This window comes from Homo sapiens, chromosome 18 (genome assembly GCF_000001405.40).
Source record: "Homo sapiens chromosome 18, GRCh38.p14 Primary Assembly".
Classification (NCBI taxonomy): Eukaryota; Metazoa; Chordata; class Mammalia; order Primates; family Hominidae; genus Homo; species Homo sapiens.
This window is the reverse complement of record NC_000018.10, coordinates 64,267,823-64,290,692: the sequence shown is the minus strand read 5'-3', so window position 1 is coordinate 64,290,692 and position 22,870 is coordinate 64,267,823. Positions and strand designations below refer to the sequence as shown.

Genomic DNA, 22,870 nt, shown 5'->3' with positions numbered 1-22,870 from the left:
GCTGGGGGCATCACACTACCTGACTTCAAACTATACTACAAGGCTACAGTAACCAAAACAGCATAGTACTGGTACCAAAACAGAGATATAGACCAATGGAACAGAACTGAGCCCTCAGAAATAATGCCACATATCTACAACTATCTGATTTTTGACAAACCTGACAAAAACAAGAAATGGGGAAAGGATTCCCTATTTAATAAATGGTGCTGGGAAAACTGGCTAGCCATATGTAGAAAGCTGAAACTGGATCCCTTCCTTACACCTTATACAAAAATTAATTCAAGGTGGATTAAAGACTTAAATGTTAGACCTAAAACCATAAAATCCCTAGAAGAAAACCTAGGCAATACCATTCAGGACATAGGCATGGGCAAGGACTTCATGTCTAAAACACCAAAAGCAATGGCAACAAAAGCCAAAATTGACAAATGGGATCTAATTAAAGAGCTTCTGCACAGCAAAAGAAACTACCATCAGAGTGAACAGGCAACCTACAGAATGGGAGAAAATTTTTGCAACCTACTCATCTGACAAAGGGCTAATATCCAGAATCTACAATGAACTCAAACAAATTTACAAGAAAAAAACAAACAACCCCATCAAAAAGTGGGTGAAAGATATGAACAGACACTTCTCAAAAGAAGACATTTATGCAGCCAAAAAACACATGAAAAAATGCTCATCATCACTGGCCATCAGAGAAATGCAAATCAAAACCACGATGAGATACCATCTCACACCAGTTAGAATGGCCATCATTAAAACTCAGGAAACAACAGGTGCTGGAGAGGATGTGGAGAAATAGGAACACTTTTACACTGTTGGTAGGACTGTAAACTAGTTCAACCATTGTGGAAATCAGTGTGGCGATTCCTCAGGGATCTAGAACTAGAAATACCATTTGACCCAGCAATCCCATTACTGGGTATATACCCAAAGGAATATAAATCATGCTGCTATAAAGACACATGCACACATATGTTTATTGCGGCACTATTCACAATAGCAAAGACTTGGAACCAACCCAAATGTCCAACAATGATAGACTGGATTAAGAAAATGTGGCACATATACACCATGGAATACTATGCAGCCATATAAAAGGATGAGTTCATGTCCTTTGTAGGGACATGGAGGAAGCTGGAAACCATCATTCTCAGCAAACTGTCACAAGGACAAAAAACCAAACACCACATGTTCTCACTCATAGGTGGGAATTGAACAATGAGAACACATGGACACAGGAAGGGGAAGGAACATCACACACCAGGGACTGTTTTGGGGTAGGGGGAGGGGGGAGGGATAGAATTAGGAGGTATACCTAATGCTAAATGACAAGTTGCTGGGTGCAGCACACCAACATGGCACATGTATACATATGTAACAAACCTACACGTTGTGCACATGTACCCTAAAACTTAAAGTATAATAATAATAAAATTTAAAAAAAAGAGATATCTAAAGTTCTATTGATTAAAAAAAACGAAAAAAAAAGAAAAAGAAATGGTGCCCAATAGGGTGTGTGAATGATGGTGGGGGGCCAGATCCCTCATGAACAGATTAATGCCCTCCCTTGGTGGGGTAGGGAGGCAGTGAGTGAGTTCTTGCTCTATAAGTTTCCCCAAAAGCTGGTTGTTAATAAGACTTTGGCACCACCCTCCCCTCTCTTTTGCTTTCTCTCTCTTCTGCCATGTGACCTCTGCACATGCTGGCTCTGCTTCGCCTTTCACCATGAGTGGAAGCTTCTTGAGGCCCTCATCAGAAGCAAATATTGGGGCTGTGTTTTTTGTACAGCCTACAGAACTGTAAGCCAAATAAACCTCTTTTCTTTATACATTATCCAGCTCATGTATTCCTTTACAGTACCATAAACGTTCTAAGACATGGATGAACATTCAGATAAAGAGATATGTTAGGGTGAGGTCTGGAAGGGTCCTGAGTGCAGGAGCTTCTGTCTCCATGGAATTGGGGTGCATCACCCTCCCAGCATAGGGATGTGTTTGCCACATGGATGTGCTCTGAACCTTGTACTTTTGAGATTTTTATGGCGTTTCATCACATAGATATGATTGATTATTAACTCAGTCACCAGTCCTCTCCTGTCTCTAGAGAATGGGGGCTGGGGTTGAAAGTTCTAAGCCTCCAGTCTTGCCTTGGTCTTTCTGGCAACCAGCTCCCATCCAGGAGCCCACCAAGAGTCACCTCATTAGAACATAAGACACTTGCATCACCCAGGAAATACCAAGGGATTTAGTGGTTGTGTGTCAGGAATTGGGATCAAAGACCAAATATTAGAAGAAAAGATTCTCCTTCCATCTCTATAGCCCAGGAAATTACAAGGGCTTTAGAAGCTCTGTGCCAGGATCTGGGGGAAGAGACCAATATAAAAAATACTTCTTATTTCACACCTATCCAGTTCCCCAGGCTAAGGAGGATGAGACACATGAGACAGATTTACCGGACCCAGTGCCAACCAACCCACCGTCCTGCAGAGGGAAGCAGGAGTGTTCCATGGCCATGGTCCAAAACAAAGCACACAACCAGGTCCAGCCTAGACACACTCAACCCGAGCCAACCCACAGATTCATGAGCAACAAGAAAAGCCTGTGATTTTAAGCTGCTGAGATTTGGGGCCATTTTTTACACAGAAAAAAAAGGATGCAGATATCAACAAGCAAGTTATTAAGGGGGAATGATAAACGGTCAACAGGTTTTTTTTTTAAACATAAAAACATATTCCACTTTGTTAGTTACAAAAACTGTGAAAATCAATGCAATTTAAACAGGCTATACTTACTCTGAGCACATGGAGACAGATGAACCCCAGCTCTGCCACCTGCTAGTTTCAAGATCTTGAACATGTTACCTGCCAACACTGAGCCTCAATTTCCTTATCTGTAAAATGAGAAAATAAGAGCATTTACCTGAAAGGTTATTGCAAATAATACACAGAATACATGTAAAAAGCTTAAAACAATGCTTATCAAGCATTATCCAGGAAATACACATGAATCATTATTTATAAACATGTAAGATGACAAAGGTAGTTAATGCCATTGTTGGCTAAGAGTATGCTGAATGGTTTTTTTAAAAAATAGCCTTTCAAAAAATAATAACAATGAGAATACCACATACCTGTAATTAAAAGTTATGACCAAAGTTTTTTTAAAAGTACATACATTCTGGGCCGGGCGCGGTGGCTCACGCCTGTAATCCCAGCACTTTGGGAGGCTGAGGCGGGCGGATCACGAGGTCAGGAGATCGAGACCATCCCGGCTAAAACGGTGAAACCCCGTCTCTACTAAAAATACAAAAAATTAGCCGGGCGTAGTGGCGGGCGCCTGTAGTCCCAGCTACTTGGGAGGCTGAGGCAGGAGAATGGTGTGAACCCGGGAGGCGGAGCTTGCAGTGAGCCGAGATCCCGCCACTGCACTCCAGCCTGGGCGACAGAGCGAGACTCCGTCTCAAAAAAAAAAAAAAAAAAAAAAAAAAAGTACATACATTCTGAACATTATACAAAGTAAAAACCAAAAGAAATAAGATGGAGAAGAGAACAGGGACCATATAGGTGTGAGAACAGGGACTAAGTGTCAACTTGATTGGATTGAAGGATGCAAAGTATTGTTTCTGGGTGTGTCTGCCAGGGTGTTGCCAAAGGAGATTAACATTGGAGTCAGTGGGCTGGGAAAGGCAAACCCACCCTTAACTGGGTGGGCACCATCTAATCAGCTGCCAGCATGGCTAGAATTTAAAGCAGGCAGGAAAACTGTGAAAAGACCAGACTGGCCTAGCCTCCCAGCCTACATCTATCTCCCAAGCTGGATGCTTCCTGCCCTCAAACATCGAACTCCAAGTTCTTCAATTTTGGGACTCGAACTGGCTCTCCTTGCTTCTCGTCTTGCAGACAGCCTATTGTGGGACCTTGTGATTGTGTAAGTTAACCCTATATATATATATAGGGTTTCATCACATAGGTATGATTATGAACTCCGTTGCCAGTCCTCTCCTGTCTGTATATGTATCCTGTTAGTTCTGTCCCTCTAGAGAGCCTTGACTAATACAGTGGGCTTTAGGTTTAGTCCTGACTTCCTCTCTCAGTTCCACAGCTCCATTACTTGCAAACTACATGATGTTAAACAGCATATTAGATATCACTCCAGTTTTTTCAACTTTTAAATAGGGAAAACAGCACACATCTTATATAGTTGCCATAAAGAGTAAATGTGATGCTGCCTATAAAGCAACTGGCTCATTTCCTCACACATGCTGGGTGTAAAATAAATGATTGCCTCCTCCCTGATACTCTGAGTGTAGGAGACCATTTTCCTTTTGGTCTTTTATTTCTTCTATGGTTGCATATATTGTACTAAAGTAATGGTTCCATTTAGGCAAATAATTTCCCAATTAAGATTTTTAAAAACCACATCCATGATTTGTCATTGTTTAGAGAAAAGCCTCGTTGTCATACCAAATGTTTTCCTTTTCCAGCCATGTGTACATTATTATGTGGCCATCTTTACTGTGAAACTAAGGTGGTTATTATTGACCACAGTTATACATATACATCTTCTACAAGATGCTAAAATAACAAAAGCAAAAATAGTATTGTTTTCTGAGGGACTTAGTTTCCATAAAAATATGGATTGGGTTTTCTATCTGCATCCTGTCATCTGCAATTGCCTTTATTGCTGCCCAGAGTGCCCTCAGCAGTCCCCATGGTGCCATACCATTTCCTCGCTGGCCCACACAAGGGAACTTTATTTCTGAATCACTTATTGAGGAGTTAACTAAATAAAAACCAATGTGCTTGTGACAATTCGAAGTAAATGTTTATTCCGTTATATGCCAGCTGTCCAAGCAGATATTTGACTCAAATTGATTTCAATGACAATGTTAGGTTTGGATTTATGTTATTTTTACTGGAATTTACTTATGTAATTCAATATTTATTAGCATGCAAAGTAAGTAGAGTGAACAAATTGTTTCTCTTTCTTACGGAACTTTGTCTCCTTCAAAAATAAAACATGTTCTCACTTATTTTTCTGTAAATATTTTAATTTAAATTTTTATTGGCAAGAATATTTTCCAAGCATTTTTTTGGTTAATGCATTAATAAACATACTTCTGACAGATGGAGCTTTTCTTGGAATTGATGTTATTTTTGCCTAAAAATAAGATCAAGTCTTCTCTATTTTCAAAACAACACTGTTATTGTTGCTGATTCAGGCTAAAATCCCTTGACTTTTATCCCCAGATTTCTTACATGAGTGGCCTCCAACCCCTGCTTTGGCCTTGGGTCTGATCTTAAGGCTGCAGATGTTTTACCTTTAATCGAGTTAGCTGTTTTGTGGCCCCAGAAGAATTTGAGCATTAAGAAAACAAAAACTTTTAATTGCTTTACAAATAAAACTCTACAACAATAATATATTTCAAGTAGAGATAAGTGTATGGCTCTACTGTCTACTATAGAAAATCCCTGCCCTGAGTTAGTACTTTACACCATACTTTGTACAAATGTAACACAGAAGGGCTTCTGGAAGGCTCTCACAGCAGCAGTGAGTACCAAATCAATGAGGATAAATGTACTCTTTTCTTACAGCATTCTATTTTTCATTATGAAGTATTCCAAGCATACAGAAAATATAGACAAAATAAGCACCCAAGTGCTTACAATCAAGATTTATTAAATCAACATTTTTTATACTTTTTTCCTCTTTTGTAAGGAAATAGTGCATGTCAGATATACATGAAGCCCAGTAATGTGTAAAGACAAAAATACACAAATTTAGTATTCCCATTCTCTTGTTGCTGGAGATTTTAATAACTTCAGATTTGTTATACTAACAATTCTTTACACATGTTTCCATGTATATAGTAAGTGAGAATTTCTCTGGGTTATATTCCTAGGAAAGAAAGTGTTCCCATACATTACCAGATTTCACTCCACTTCCTTACCCTTCTAGAGGTGATCTGGTTCCTAAATTTGGCTAGTATCTTTGCTTTCCTGTTTTGTGTGTATATAAACATAAACATACATATTTAAGCCTTAAATAAGGTTTAAAACCTAGTATAAATTGTTTGATTTTATAGGTATTCTCTCGCAACTTGATGGATTTTTTTTCTTTTCTTAGCATTAGATATGTTTTTTAAAATTTTTCCACATAGCTCATATTAAACACTATAAGAGTTTGTAGCATGAATACACAAATTTAGTATTCCCATTCTCTTGTTGCTGGAGATTTTAGTAACTTCAGATTTCTGTCATATTAAAAATTCTGTATCCATGTTTCCATGTGTACAGTATGTGAGAATTTCTCTGGGTTATAGTCCTAGAAAAAAAGGTGTTACCATAAATTATGCACAACTACAGGTTCCAACTACTAGAGAATTATTTAAAGCAGTTGTGTAAATCTCCCTGCTCCCAGCAGTGTTTGATTTCTTCTTCAATCACGTGTATGATTGTCAGATTTCTTCTAAGTTTTTCACTTTTACACTTATGATCTGGTAGTTAATTGTATTTGTAATGATCACTTCTCTGATTTGTAATGATGTTTGGCATTTTATAATTAACTGATTTGGATTTCTTTTCTTTTTTCTTTTTTTTTTTTTTTTTGAGACAGAGTTTCACTCTTGTTGCCCAGGCTGGAGTGCAATGGCCCGATCTCAGCTCACCACCACCACTGCCTCCCGGGTCAAGTGATTCTCTTGCCTCAGCCTCCTGAGTAGCTGGGATTACAGGCATGTGCCACCACGCCCAGCTAATTTTGTATTTTTAGTAGAGACAGGGTTTCTCCATATTGGTCAGGCTGGTCTCGAACTCCTGACCTCAGGTGATGTGCCTGCCTCGGCCTCCCAAAGTGCTGGGATTACAGGCGTGAACCCCTGCACCCAGCCCTGGATTTCTTTTCAATTCCTTATTATACCTTTATCTACTTTTCTGTAAGATTTTTAAAATTCGATTTCAGGAATTCTTGATATGTTCTGCATGCTGATTTTAGTCTAAGTCCTGACTGTTTTTTTTTTTTCCTTTTACCTTTGGGGAAGCTACCACTATTGGGAATGTCAACAGAAATAGTACATTTTGTCCTATTTCCCCTGTTCCTCTTTACTTTTTCTGCTATGTGCTTTTTAAAGAGAAGTGGGCAGATATAGGACAGAAGATGATTAGAATTAAGTCATTGACATGTATTTGCTACCTTTCCTTCCTTTTGACTCATGAAAATTAAGAATACTTCCAAGGCCCATGTACCAGCCTTTTGGCTGAAGGTAATGATTAAAAATTACTGAGATATAAGCCTGGCAGAGAAAGCAAATACTTTATGGTCTCACTTATATGTGGGGAATCTAAAAGTCAAACTTAAAGAAGTAGAAAGTAGAATGGTGATTATCAGGCTGGAAGAAGAGGAGGCAGGGAATAGGAAGATGTTGATCAAAGGGTACAAAGTTTAGTTAGACAAGACAAATAAGTTTCAGAGATCTGTTACACAGCATGGTGACTACAGTTAATATTAATGTATTATATATTTCAGAATTGTCAAACAGGTAGATTTTAAATGATTTCATGACAAAAAACGATAAGCATGAAGTGATGGATAAGTTAAATAAGCTGATATAATTATTCCACAATGTATACATATATTGAAACATCTCATTGTATCCCTTAAATATATACACTTATTATTTTTCACATAAAAATAAGGTAAGTTATCCTAGTTAAAAGAAAATGACTAAGAATCTTCCAGAAGCACAAATTCTATTTCCCCCACTACTTCACAGAATCAGGAAATAATATTGCAAGGAAGGACCTCTGAGTTCATTTAGGCTGAACATTCCATTTTATAAGTGACCTCCAAAGTTTTAGACTTGAGTTTGTTTCAATAAGACAGATTTTTTATCTGCCTCCATCCTTTACTCTTCACCACTTTTCTATGTTTTCTTTTGTAATACTTACAGCTGTAATTATCTAATATTTACTAATTTTTTAAATATTTGTTAAATTACATATTGAGCTACTGTCTGCCTCCCATGACATCAAGTAAGCTTCAGGAGGACAAGGACACTGTCTCCCTTTGTGCCGAATTCCCCATCACCAAGAATATTAGAAAGTGCTCATTACATAATTATATAATGTCCTGAGTGCCTACTGTGTGACAGCTACTACGTTAGAATTTGAGAATAAATAAATTCATAAGAAAAAGTTCCCACCTGTATTAATCCATTTTCATGCTGCTGATAAAGACATGCCTGAGACTGGGTAATTTATAAAGAAAAAGAGGTTTAATGGACTCACAGTTCCATGTGGCTGGGGAGTCCTCACAATCATGGCAGAAGACAAAAGGCACATCTTACATGGTGGCAGACAAGAGAATGAGAGCCAAGCAAAAGGGGTTTCCCCTTATAAATCCATCAGATCTTGTGAGACTTATACACTACCACAAGAACTGTATGGGGGAAACCACCCCCATCATTCAATTATCTTCCACCAGTTCTCTCCCACAACAGATGGGAATTATGGGAGCTACAATTCAAGATGAGATTTGGGTGGGGACACAGCCAAACCATATCATTCCACTACTGGCCCCTCCCAAATATCCTCACATTTGAAATATGTCCTCACATTTCAAAACCTATCATGCCATCCCAACAGTCCCCCAAAGTCTTAACTCATTTCGGCATTAACTCAAAAGTCCACATTCCAAAGTCTCATTTGAGACAAGGCAAGTCCCTTCTGTCAATAAACCTGTAAAACAAAAGCAAGTTAGTTACTTCCTAGATACGACGGGGTTACAGGCATTAGATACATACACCCATTCCAAATAAGAGAAATTGGCCAAAACAAAGGAGGTAAAGGCCCCATGCAAGTCCAGTGGGGCAGTTAAAGCTTTTCTAAGCACACAGTACAAGCTGTCGCTGGATCTACCATTCTGGGGTCTGGAGGACAGTGGCCCTCTTCTCCCAGCTCCACTAGGCCGTGCCCCAGTAGGGACTCTGTGTGAGAGTTCTAACCAAACACCCAACCATTTCCCTTCCACACTGCCCTAGCAGAGGTTCTCTATGTGATAGAGAACCTGCCCCCCTCCCACCTGCAGCAAACCTCTGCCTAGACATCCAGGCATTTCCATACATCCTCTGAAATCTAGGCAGAGGTTCTCAAACCTCAGTTCTTGATTTCTGTGTACTGATAGGCTCAACACCATGTGGGAGCTGCCAAGGCCTGGGGCTTGTACCTTCTGAAGTCATGGCCCAAGCCGTACCTTGGCCACATTTTACCCATGGCTAGAGCAGCTGGGACATAGGGCACCAAGTCTTTAGGCTGCACAGAGCAGGGAGGCCCTGGGCCCAGCCCACAAAACCACTTTTTCCTCCTAGGCCTCTGGGCCTGTGATGGGAGGGGCTGCCTCAAAGGTCTCTGACATGCCCTGGAGGCATTTTCCCCATTGTCTTGGCAATTAACATTTGGCTCCTTGTTACTTATGCAAATTTCTGTAGCCAGCTTGAATTTCTCCTCAGAAAATGGGGTTTTCTTTTCTATCACATCGTCAGGCTATGAATTTTCTGAACTTTTATGCTCTGTTTCCCTTTTAAAACTGAAGGCTTTTAACAGCACCCACATCATATCTTGAGTGCTTTGCTGCTCAGTAATTTCTTCTGCCAAATACCTGAAATTATCTCCTTCAAGTTCAAAGTTTCACAAATCTCTAGGGCAGGGGCAAAATGCCAACAGTCTCTTTGCTAAAACATAGCAAGAGTCACCTTTACTCCAGTTCCCAACAAGTTTCTCATCTCCATCAGAGAACACCTCAGCCAGGATTTCATTGTCCGTATCATTATCAATATTTTGGTTAAAGCCGTTCAACAAGTCTCTGGGAAGTTCCAAGCTTTCTCACATTTTTCTGTCTTTTTCTGAGACCTCCGAATTGTTCCAACTTCTGCCTGTTACCCAGTTCCAGTTTTTGGGTTTCTTTACAGTAGCACCTCACTACCCAGTACCAATTTACTGTATTAGTCTGTTTTCACACTGCCAATAAAGACATACCTGAGACTGGGCAATTTATAAAGAAAAGTTTAATTGACTCAAAATTCCATGTGGCTGGGGAGGCCTCACAATCATGGTGGAAGACAAAAGGCATGTCTTATATGGTGGCGGACAAGAGAATGAGAGCCAAGGGAAAGTGGTTTCCCCTTATAAAACCATCAAATCTCGTGAGACTTATTCATTATTGTGAGAACAGTATGGGGGAAACTGCCCCCCATGATTCAATTATCTCTCACCAGGTCCCTCCCACAACACGTGGGAATTATGGGAGCCACAATTCAAGATAAGATTTGGGTGGGGACACAGCCAAACTAGATCACCAACTTAGAAACTGTTGGCAACTTGTCAAATTTCACACAGTTAACTAGTTTAGGGACAGTAGTTGTGTTTTCCTACCTCCAGGTCAGGTGCACATATCCAAATTTAAGAGAACTGCCAGAATAGAGAAGCAAAGCCAAGGATTTATAAACAGCTGGGATCTAGGGCAGTAGGTGATAGTTTGTAAGTTTATTTAGAAAATAAATTGAGACATTCTAGATCAAAATTTATGGATTGGATTAGTCAAGATAATGTAGGAGGAGATTTACATGTAGCTCATGGAGCTTAAGCTCTGAAGCCACTCACCTACATGTTTACCTACCAAACCCCCAGGGGAAAGCCCAAATGATGAATTTACATGGTCATTTGTTAATCTGCCAAAGTCATCAGTTTATACCAATGTCTCTTCCCACACAAATTTCATCTCTGTCACACATTTCGTCATGTTGAGTAAATTGGTAATAGCCACAGGAATTTTTGGAATCTACTATGAGATTATTGAGTTCTGGATTTTTTATTTTGGAATATATGCAATATTTTCATATGGTTTGCAGCCACTTTTGTTTATGGTTAGATGATTGCTAGTTGCTTCAGGATAATAGGAAAAACTTCCAAGAACACAGCTACCTGTGTAGACTCTGCTGGCATCATGACCTGATGTGTGGCACCCACAATGGAACTTGTCACATGCCCTACAATCAGAATGTCCTGGAGTCTCATCATTTCAACTTATTTAAAGTTGGTCCTTGAACAAGAGAGCCTGAAATGCCTTGGAATCTTCCTGCTTATATCTGAAAAAACATGGTAGATATTTTCCTAAATGTAATATCAATTCTAAAAATTTATGTGTCAATACCAGTGTGAAACTAAAACATTTTCATGCTATCAAAAATAAAGTGTTTTTAAAAAATCAATTATTCTACAAAAAAAATCTTAAGGACCTTTCCATTCTCTCTATAGAAAATGATACCAGAACAGCACTGTCACGTGAAGTCACAAATACCTCTAAGCCTAAAAAATATAGAAAAATGCTTTCAGTGTTTAAGAGATATAAATAGAAATAATATATAATGCTGATTTTCTGGTTTTATGATGTTTGTTACACTCAGGGTTTTTTTCTTAATATCTTGATATATGGAAGTCTAATAGTTAGACAGAGGCAGAGGTAAGGAAAATAATGACTCTGAGTGGCTGTTTTATAAAAATTTTTCAACTACTGTCCCTAAAACACAAAGGATATTATGAAACTGTCTCCACATTCTGACTTCACCATGTTACCTGCTCTGGCATATACTGTCAATGCTCTATTTATATCTGCATGCATCCACAAGGAAAGAGAACTCCTGAACAGCACTGTGGACCACTCAGACCTAAGGGATGCCTGTGACACACTCCATCCAACCCACAATTTTTGTAAGTGGGCATGGGACATTCTCTAGGAAAAAACACATATTAGGCCATAACACAAGTCTCAAGACATGTGTTAAAATCTTACAAAGGGGGTGTGGAGTAAGGTGGCTAAATAGAAGCCCATACTACTGTTTGTCCCCCTGCACGTCCCACCACAGGGACACCACATTTTAACAACTAACTCTACACCAAAAGTACCATCCCAAGAACCAAAAACCAGGTAAGCAATCACAGTACATGGTTTTAAATTCCTATCACTTAAAGAGACATTGAGGAGGGTAGGATGCTTCCCTGTCACAATGGAAAGCAGAACCTTGCTATACTCAGCTGACGTTCACCCACAGAGGGATCATTTGGACCAATTCTAGCCAGAGGGACTCTTTTGTCTAGGCCACAAGGACTGCAATTCTTAGTGAAGTCCTAGTGTGAGTTGAGCACAGAGCCAGTAGACTGTTGAGGGGTAGGGACATGACCTACTAAGACACCAGTCAGGGTGGCTAAGGGTGTGCTTATGCATCCCCTCACCTACTCACTGGCAGCAGCTACATAGCTTGGGAGAAATCTGTGTGCTTGGAAGAGGAAGACTGCAGTGACTGGCGTACATTGCGTTGTACTCTGATAGGATGCCCTATCGCAGTGGATGCCTGGCAGGATTCATCACCTGCTGACTTAAGTGTCCCTGGGACATGAATAACCCAACAGTGATACCGAGGGAATATGCTGTGGACCTTGGACTCTGAGACATGCTAGCTTCAGGTGCTACCCAGGACATTCACAGCTGTGGTGGCTACAACGAAAGTCTCCTTCTGTTGTAGAAAAGCAGGGGGAAAAGTGAAATAGATTCTATCTTGTACCTTAGATACCATCTTGGCCATAGTGGGTAGAGCACCAAGCAGGCACTGAGGGGTGGGGATGGGGGGCATTCTTGAGTCCAGACCTGAGCTCTTGGTCAGCTCTTCTGGACCCACCCTGGGCCAGAGAAGAGACCACTGCCCTGCAGGGTAAGCCAGTCACAAAAAGACTAATAGAATATAATTCCACTTATAAGAAGTATCCAGAGTAGTCAAATTCATAGAGAAAGGAGGTAGAATGGTTGTTGCCATGAGCTGGGAATAGGTAGAAATGGGCAGTTGTTGTTTAATGGGTATGGAGGTTAAATTTTACAAGATGAAAAAGTACTGGAGATTGGTTACACAGTAGCATGAATGTACTTGACACTATTAACTGTACACATAAAAATGGTCAAGATGCTGACGCGGGCAGATCACAAGGTGAGGAGATCGAGACCATCCTGGCTAACACCATAAAACCCCGTCTCTACTAAAAATACAAAAAAAGTTAGCCGAGTGTGGTGGCGGGCGCTCGTAGTCCCAGCTACTCGGGAGGCTGAGGCAGGAGAATGGCGTAAACCCGGGAGGCGGAGCTTGCAGTGAGCTGAGATCGCACCACTGCACTCCAGCCTGGGCAACGAGCAAGACTCCGTCTCAAAAAAAAAAAAAAAAAAAAAAGGTCAAGATGGTAAATGTTATGTGTATTTTACCACAATTCAAAACAACATGTATTGAAGTTAAATAATATGTTAATAATATAAGAGAAATGTGTTAGGCCCACATGCAGGGAAGTCATAAGATGTCAGATTCCTTAGAGCACTTCTCAACCATTATGAATATGATCCAGTTGATCACAGGGACAAACAGTTCAGCCAATCATTTATGAAGTAGATAAGGAACCCAAAGGGTTGTGTCTAGCCTTGTCATAGGTAAACAAAGGAGGTATCTTGAGTCTATCTAAGTCCTATGGGAGTGTGATTTCTTGCACTAAGTGGGTTCCTGAACAACAGGAATTGTTAAATAAATAACAGCTTCCTTTCCTTTGTGTGGACCAAATCAGAGGCACGTTCACGCTGTCCCCCAGCAACCTCCAGCAGCGTGAATCCCTGGTTTCTTCTGTGTAAGTTGCTCACTAATGCAGCCTAGATTGGCTTCCTTCCCATAGCTTCCCGTCACACTCCCCCACTTCCTTCCTGGTGCTCCCTTGAATACCTCCCAAATAAATGAGTTGCACATCAATCTTTGTCTCAGAGTCGGCTTCTGAGGGGACCTAACCTAAGACATCTTTAGTACCACATTTCCTATTTTCTCTTTTGTCAAGCTTGACTTTTCCTTTGTAACAACCACACTGCATTCAGTTTAGAGAGATAAAACTGTGGGAGTGAAGAAACCCCAAACTGGATTTGAGGCCACAAATTCAAAACTTATAGCAAGTCAGTTTGAATGTGTACATGTCATTGTCATATTAAAAAGAAAAAGCAAATCTAAATTTAAGTAAGGAGAGATTTTATCTTACAGGATGACTGAGAGAGGGAAGGGACTATTGCAATAGTGGGAGGGAACCTATTGCAATGAGGAGGGCACCTCAACCATGTGATCTGCATGTGTCTCAAAGGTTAGGCAGAAAAGAGCTTTTCTTTTATAAGGAGAAGGAACCAAAGCTAAAAAGAACCAGTGAGAGGAAATAGAATACACCAGATGAAAAGTGGATCAAGCTGACAGTAGAACAGAGAATGTTTTACCCCAGAGTCAGCCTCCTCCTTATATGGGCCCTGCAGGAGGGGCTGCCCATGCCCACTCGGGGAAAGCTCAGGAACCTGGGGGGAAGAAAGAAGATTTGCCAAAAATTAATTAGCAAACTTTTGCTCCAGTGGATCAGAAGAACAAAACAGTTCAGCCAATCATGTATAAAGTAAATAAGGAATCTAGAGGGTTTGTGTCTAGCCTTGTCATAGGTAAACAAGGAAGGCATCTTGAGTCTTATCTAAATCACATGGGGAGTGGTGGTTTCTTGCATGAAGTAGGTTCTTGAACACAAAAGGCTAAGATTTCTTAACCTTCAGTTTTCCATGATCACAGGGCTCAAGTAAAGTTCAACATTGTCTTCATTTAATCTGCTCTCGGCTTTAGTTTATTTGCTTGCAAAAAAAAAAAAAAAAAAAAAAAGCAGCTAACTGGCAGTTTCCAAACTTTTTTTTTTCTGGAAGGAAAACTCCTTTTAAAAGAAAGCTTACAGGAAATTGAGTATGCAAAACAGTTACAATTGGAAACCTGTTATGCTGGAAGAAGCTTACTGGCTGGCTAGCACTATGCTTCCTGGCCCCCAGTGTCAGGCTTCTGAGCCCAAGCTAAGCCATCATATCCCCTGTGACCTGCACGTATACATCCAGATGGCCTGAAGCAACTGAAGAACCACAGAAGAAGTGAAAATAGCCAATTCCTGCCTTAACTGATGACATTCCACCACTGTGATTTGTTCCTGCCCCACCCTAATTGATCAATTGACCTTGTGATATTCCTTCTCCTGGACAATGAGTCTCAGGAGCTCCCCACAGAGTACCTTGTGACCCCTGACCCTGCCCGCAAGAGAACAACCCCCTTTAACTGTAATTTTCTATTACCTACCCAAATCCTATAAAACTGCCCCACCCTTATCTCCCTTTGCTGACTCCTTTTTCAGACTCAGTCCACCTGCACCCAGGTGATTAAAAAGCTTTATGGCTCACACAAAGCCTGTTTTGTGGTCTCTTCACATGGACGCGCATTAACACTCAGCACCCACATCCTTGTAAGGACCCGAGCTCCTACAGCATATCTAGCAACTGATGAGGCAGACTTAAAGTTCCTTTCAGCTTCCCTGAACTTTAGAAAGGCTTCTTCCTGATTCTAGGCCTTGATTTCCCTTTCCTTAGAGCATTTACCTTAGAAAACTTGGAATTGCAAGTTCTTTCTCTGCCTCTTTAAAATATTCTCAAAGTCTCTTGGCAGTTTTGCAATCTGGAAATATCTTTCTCAAGGACCTGGGAGTTATCCCTTTGAAACGTAATCACTGAAGGAGATAGCTTCCCTATCTCCCAGTCTCTGTGGCGGGCTAAGACTCTAAATTTGTTGTCAATAAGCACCAACTAGCAAGTTCAGTTAGCCTAATCTTTTTGATCAACCAACCCCCTATTGTCCTCAAGTACTTTTCCAAAAGTTCCCTTCACCTCTTAAAACCCTTCTTGCCTTTTGTTTCGGCAGAGTTAAGGTCAGTCTCCCTCCCCTACTGCAATAGACTTGAATAAAGTCTTCCTTGCCTGCTTAACTCTGTCCAGGGCAATTTTTCTTTGATACAACTTCTAGGCTAAATTATTTGCATGTTCCCTTGTTACTCCAACATTCTACAAAACTTAAGAAATCAGTGATGAGGTATAAGCTTTGAATTCAAACAAACTTGGAAATAAAGACTCTAAATTAGTCTTGCTCATTATTCAAAAAACCAAAACAAAAGATGACTAGAATTGAATGAAGAGGTGTTAACAACCAGATATTCTCCTCCCTTGTTTTACTTCTGAAATTCCTAGAATCTTGTCAATTTATTGTGGTTTCTCTCACAATTTCTTCTTATGAAGTCTCTTGGTTCTGTTTGTGTCTTGCTACCCTAAATTGAAACAGGAAGGCTGAGGTGGTCACTGTTATGTTCTGTCCCCATGTTTAAGGTAAAGGTTAGAAAATTCTTCTTGAAAATTGCTTTTAAAATAGGAGCATTCACTAAGCAGGTACTCTTTTCATTTATCCTCAGAAAAGTATGTTCACTAGGATATTAACACCAAAAAAAAAAATCCTCTTTTAACAGCATAGTGTGGCAAATCTGGTCTCTGAAACCAAAAGTGAATGAAAAAATGAATAAATAAATAAAAAAAAAAGAAATAAACAGATCCAATCAACTAGCAGCTGCAGAAAAAGGCCCACTGAATTTCCAGAAGAAAAAAAAAAGCCTTTTAAAGTCTAGTTAAAATAATGCTCTTTCTTTATTATTCATTCCTTTTTGCCCAGTGCCTCCCCAGTCCCCTTCGCCACCTTTCAGCAGATTTGCATATAAATGGCATTCTTTTTATTTCTTCTGAGTTCATCAGCCCCTTGTTGCTTATTCCCCACCTGAAGTCTAATCCTTGCTTTGCAACTTCACAATTGGTTGCTGTGGAAATGATTATGTTGTCACAAACAGAGGATTAGAACTTCAGGTGGAGAATAAACAGCAGGAGCAGATGAACTCTTAATAATAAGGATGCTGGTATCATGCAAATGCACCTAAACAGAAGAAAGAGAATTGTCACGGGAGGGGAAGGGGAGAAAAACGAGAAAAGTCAAAACATGATTGCTACACAGGTCTGAAGTGGAAAATTACTAGAATTTAAAAGTGAAAAACCATTCTGCCATGAAAGTACGACTCAGGGGTTAAAACAAAAACACTCTATGCATTAGTAGGATGAGAGGAAAGTTTTTTGGATTCAAGGACTTGAAATATAAATGGAAGAGGTAGCAAAAAAAAAAAAAAGAAATCGAGACTAATACACAGGAATGTTAGCAATCTTGATCCCCAAAATAATTTACAATAGCAAAGAAAATGGCATAAGCTTCAAATTTGTCACTGTCACTTAAAAATATTATCTGGAAAGGTCACTGCCAAGGTCAAGGAGCAACTCATCACAAAATAATTGCAGTGCATTTATACAGCTTTAGAGTTGCACTTCTACTAGTGAAAATATAGAAAGTGAGAGTTTATTAACCAGATCAACCAACCAGAGAAACTTGAGGGGAAAGCACTGAGGAGCTTGATTGGCTGGTGAATGGGATAAGGTCAACCAAAGGAGTCCGCTTCAGAATTGTCAACCTATACTTGCCCTCAATCTCTACAGGAGGTCACAGCAAAGTTCTTGAAGAGACTGAAGGCAGCATATAGCATTTGGAGTTTGCTTTTCTTTTCTCTATTACTTTCCTAAACAGTGATGCCTTCTCTTATTTTCCGCTAAGTTTATAAAGAGGATAAATACCTGCATTGTATAATTGCTTTTGTACCTTTATGTGGGAGTCCTTCTGAGGGAATGGTGCTATTTGCACTTTATTCCTCAGTGGGTACAATCATCCCTCCTGTGCACATTTCCCCATAACTGTTTGCCTGGAATATTCATCTCTTTCTATAAAGCCAGTGTAAAATGACTCTTGTTTTCTCCCATTTAAATAAAACTATAACACTGTCATCCATTCAAAGATAAATTGTCAATACTTACTAGAATGTTCAAAAGCATCAGTGAAGCTCTATCTAAAGCTATAAAATGATATTTGAAGCCATCTGAAGATATTGGCAATCAGAGATCCAAGGAATAGAAAATTACTGTAATTATTAGCCCTTGTGCTTGAAAACATCAATTTTTTTTTCTTATCTAAAATTGTGCGATCTCTTTAGTTTTGAGATTTGTAGGATGCATTAAAGAGAAGGTTCTTTGTTCATAATCAGATAATAGTATTTTTTTAAAGAGTGGGAGAGGGGATGAGAGAATGAGGAAATATACCTTTGCTCTTTGCAATGCCACTGGTGTACTTTGTGCCTTCCAAGCGGGCACCTTAGCAAAACTGGGAGCTGGACAGCGAGAAAGCTATGTGCCTTGACCTTTGATTCTGGCACCAGAAGCTAATGTTTTCAGGCTTGGGCTTCTGGCACCTTCTTCAGGGTCAGGTCTGAGCGTGGGGGAGAGGAAGCTGTCAGTCACACTGCTACATGCTGGGCTGGAACAAGAGAAGGACGGAGAGCTGAGGGTACAAAGGACCCTACCTAATATCCACTCCTGCCCCTGGAATGGTGATCTGCTTCAGAAGATGCCTTGCCTTCATAGAGGTGTTCCCATGTGGTTTCCCAACAATCCGAATATGTTATTGCCCTTTTCAACCAGATAACCTTTCCCAAGAACCCTGAGAGTAGTTATGCCCTGGGCAAATAGACAAAAGCAGTTGGAAAGCAGGCTCGGCCTTTCCATTTCTCAAAAAAAATTAAAGGGTTTTTAAAGAGAAGACAAGGACCTTGGCAATGAGCTAAAGGTAAAGTGAGGAAGAAGGACCTGGGTTTGGTTCCATCACTGTGGTGTGTTTCTAAGGAAAGGGAGAAGTCTTTCCTGAAGTTGTATGAAATCAGGGGCAAAAAAACAATGGAGCTGCCCGACACAGAAGATGAAGAGCTACTCAAGGCAGCATAGATGACAGAAAACTGACAGTTTCTATCCATGTGAAAAAGCAAGTTAAACTCATTTACAAGGGTCAGTCTGCTCCTTTTCAAACCCATTTAGGAACTGTACCAAGGACTCAAGTTACTCAGCTGGCTGGTTAGCATTTTTAGCAGGGAATGTCAGTCAAATCAGGAGTGGGGCTTTTTGTCTTCATGCTTTTCTCTTTGTGTCCTTTCTGCCAAAAATGAGCTTGGAACCTAGGGCTCTGTCAATAAGAAACTTCAAAAGCATCAGTTTAAAGTGTAGCTCCAAAATTAGTTTCTTCTTTAGATGTTTAGAATACAAAACACTTCACTGGGGAAGTTGAACAATCAACAGTAGGTACTGATGCCCTTCATTCCTTCAACAAACACTGTGAGAGAGCTCACGGGCAGCTGGGCACTGTGCCAGGTGCTGGCGGAATAGAAGCGAAGAAAACAGAAAGCCTTCCTTTGTGGATCTTCATTTGTTCAGAACGCAGATGACAACAAGCACACACATATGTAGTCAGTAAATGCTGAGCCATAGGAAAGCCTCATGCATTAAATGGGGACTAGCAATTGGCATCATTCAAGTCCCAGGTCCTCCTAAAGACTAGAGCACACCCAACTAGAATGCAGATCTGGAAATATCACCCACTGTCCTGAGCCCCATGGTCCTGATTGCTACAATCCAGCAGCATAGCCTATGGGTAAGAGCTCAGACCTCAGATCCAGACTCCAGAATTCAAAGGCTGATTTTGCTACTTAGTATCTCTGTGATGTTGAGCAAGATGTTTAGATCCCTAGGCCTCTTTTTTCATCTGTGAAATAGGTACAATAAACTCTCCTTCTCCCAGACAAAATTGAAGGAGTTATGATAAGAACTTCACTCAGCACATGGTAGCTTCTACACATGTTCATTATTGTGACAATGGACCACTAAGTTCAAGGTGCAAATCCAGTGTCCCAAGGGATCAAGATACAATTCTTCTATTTCTTATGCTTTCTACCACCTCACCCTTCCACCCCACTTCTCCATAATCACCCCACTTCTTCAGGCCATTATTTGTCTCAAGAACTACCTCACTTCTCCTTTTCTTAGCTCTATGTAGTTTATTTAACACTTGGTGCTTTTCTGCAAGATAAAGAAAAATCTTTTAACTAAATTAATTTGACTTTACAATTCCACTGAAGCTCTGAAATAGTTTAGGATGCTTGCGTGATTAATGGGAACTGCTGTAGACTTCAATCCCATAAAGTCCTATGCACTCCAGAAAATGAAAGTGATCGCATATCACCCTGTGTTCCTGAAGGTCTCTCCAAATGAATTATAATCCAAGGACAGGTGTGATTGCATTGTTTGGGAACAGAAGGTGGGAGGAAACCTTCCAGAGAAAAATAAAGCATATCTCAAATGGTTTCATACTGTTTTGCTTCATTGAACGCTTGTCAGTGACGGTTAACTGTGTCTTCCTGTCACTTGTCACCCATATTATGATGAAGCTGTCCCCCAGATGTAATCATATACCACCACTTGTGTTAAAGGAGATGAACATTTCTGGTGGCAGAGCACCCTATCCTGCACCCACAGATAAGCAGCTAGGAGCTCTGCAACTTTTCCTGCAGAGCCCCAGGTGACTCTTGAGCTGAGACGTCCACCACCATCTGCACCATTCATACATTTCTGCAGATTAATCTGCTCATATTAGGCATGTATTTGTCAGTCCCTGTTTCCCTCTTCAGATCAAAAAGAAAGATTGTTTTTGGGACATGCCCTTTATTCTCCTGATTCAAAAAACTGATGATGCCCCATCATTTCTATGATGTAATTGTCCCTCCTTAAAACAAGGCGGGATGTTATTGTGCTGCAGGATAGTGTTGTGTTTAAAATATGTGTGTGTTTGGTTGAGTAATCTCCTTACACATTCACACCAGGATAGATTTCATTTGTAATCATCTCTTTACAAAGAACTTAAGAAACAAGGACAAGAGATACCCAGAAAAAAAAAAATCCACTTGGGAAAAAAAAATTTACAACACTATTTCTCTTCTTTTGTTCTTTATAATTGAAGGCATTAACATGAAAACTGGATCTTTCTTTCTCTGTTCATCTGCTCTAACTTTGTTCTGTACACGGACTAAATATTGTCTATTTGCCACTTTGCCTTCCCAACTGAAATCTGTGTGGAGTGGCTCTTTGTCTTTGCATTTTGCAATGCTCCTTTCAGCATGATGACCCAAAGGGCACCAGCCCTTAAGGGTTCTGCAAATTTCAGGGACATGCCAAGTAGTCAGAAGAAGCTCAATGAGCAGGCTCGCTCACCCTGAGTTACCACAAAATTCTGCAAGTCTCCCAGCAAATCCACACTGGGAATAAATTTTCTTAGCTATTGCTCCATGTTGACAGGGCAGGTACCAGCTCACATCTGAAATGCAAAGGAGTTGGCTTCAGTGACATCAGTCACTGCATGACCCTGGGGTGCCATTCATGTAGACTAGCGTGTATACCACAGTCTGTGGGAGCTCTGCCAGCCCAGTCTCTCCTTTTCCACTCTGAGCTCCATAAAACGTGTCACATAGCCCACACTCCTGGCTACTCTCTCTCCTTCCCTTTCGATGACATTTGTTTTTGAGGAAGGATCTGATATTAGCAATTTTACTACAGTGAAAATGTAAACTGATGTTAAATTATTCAGAGACATTTTTAAAGCCCTCTAATCATAGACTGTGAGCTGTCATTTGCTCAATAAACATTATTGCATTCCTCTTAAGTGTCAGGTACTATGCCCTATTCTAGAATTAGGAAAACTATATTTGTAGATTGCTTTGCAATTTACCAAAACCTTTTCATGGTTGAGTTCAGAACTCTGAGTTGCAACCTAATAGAAATGAAGTCCTTGCTTTTTTTCTTTCATAATTTGAGCACAGTGATTCCTCTATATTTCACAAGAGACTTTAAAATCACAATGTTGCCTCAACCAGATTTCCAGTGCAAGTAAACTTTAAATGGACAAAAATAAATATTCCAACTTAACAGTAACTCTTTGAACTAAAAATCATAATCAAATCAACAGTCCTCTAATAAGTGAAGTGAGTGAGAAAGAAATTGGTGTTATCCAGCAGAATAAAAAGTGCTGAATTTTATGTGAAAGGTCCTTTGCAAATGGCAATCTTACATCAAATCTTATATTAAATGTGGTCCTTCAAGAAAAAATTTTTATCTACTATTTTCCAAGCACTGAGATTAGTATGAAGAATGACAACTTAAGAAAGTCATTATCCTAGGCCAGGCACAGTGGCTCATGCCTGTAATCCTAGCACTTTGAAAGACTAAGCCTGTGGCAGAGACACAACAAAAAGAAAGATAATTTTAGACCAATAACCCTGATGAACATCGATGCAAAAATCCTCAATAAAATACAGGCAAACTGAATCCAGCAGCACATCAAAAAGCTTATCCACCATGATCAAGTGGGCTTCATCCCTGGGATGCAAGGCTGGTTCAACATACGCAAATCAATAAATGTAATTCAGCATATAAACAGAACCAACGACAAAAACCATATGATTATCTCAATAGATGCAGAAAAGGCCTTTGACAAAATTCAACAACACTTTATGCTAAAAACTCTCAATAAATTAGGTATTGATGAGACGTATCTCGAAATAATAACAGCTATCTATGACAAACCCACAGCCAATATCATACTGAATGAGCAAAAACTGGAAGCATTCCCTTTGAAAACTGGCACAAGACAGGGATGCCCTCTCTCACCACTCCTATTCAACATAGTGTTGGAAGTTCTGGCCAGGGCAATCAGGCAGGAGAAGGAAATAAAGGGTATTCAATTAGGAAAAGAAGTCTAATTGTCCCTGTTTGCAGATGACATGATTGTATATTGAGAAAACCCCATTGTCTCAGCACAAAATCTCCTTAAGCTGATAGGCAACTTCAGCAAAGTCTCAGGATACAAAATCAACGTGCAAAAATCACAAGCATTCTTACACACCAATAACAGACAGAGAGCCAAATCATGAGTGAACTCCCATTCA

At 40.0% G+C, this 22,870-nt stretch overlaps 1 long non-coding RNA gene across 1 annotated transcript in view; it reads right to left on the bottom strand.

The window, feature by feature from the left end:
• Positions 1 to 22,870, bottom strand: part of LINC01924 (long intergenic non-protein coding RNA 1924) — a 319,511-nt gene that overhangs the window by 132,909 nt on the left and 163,732 nt on the right. Inside the window, exon 4 of the long non-coding RNA NR_033881.1 lies at positions 2,801 to 2,898. This is a non-coding gene — a long non-coding RNA (long intergenic non-protein coding RNA 1924). The remainder of the gene's footprint in view (positions 1 to 2,800; positions 2,899 to 22,870) is intronic.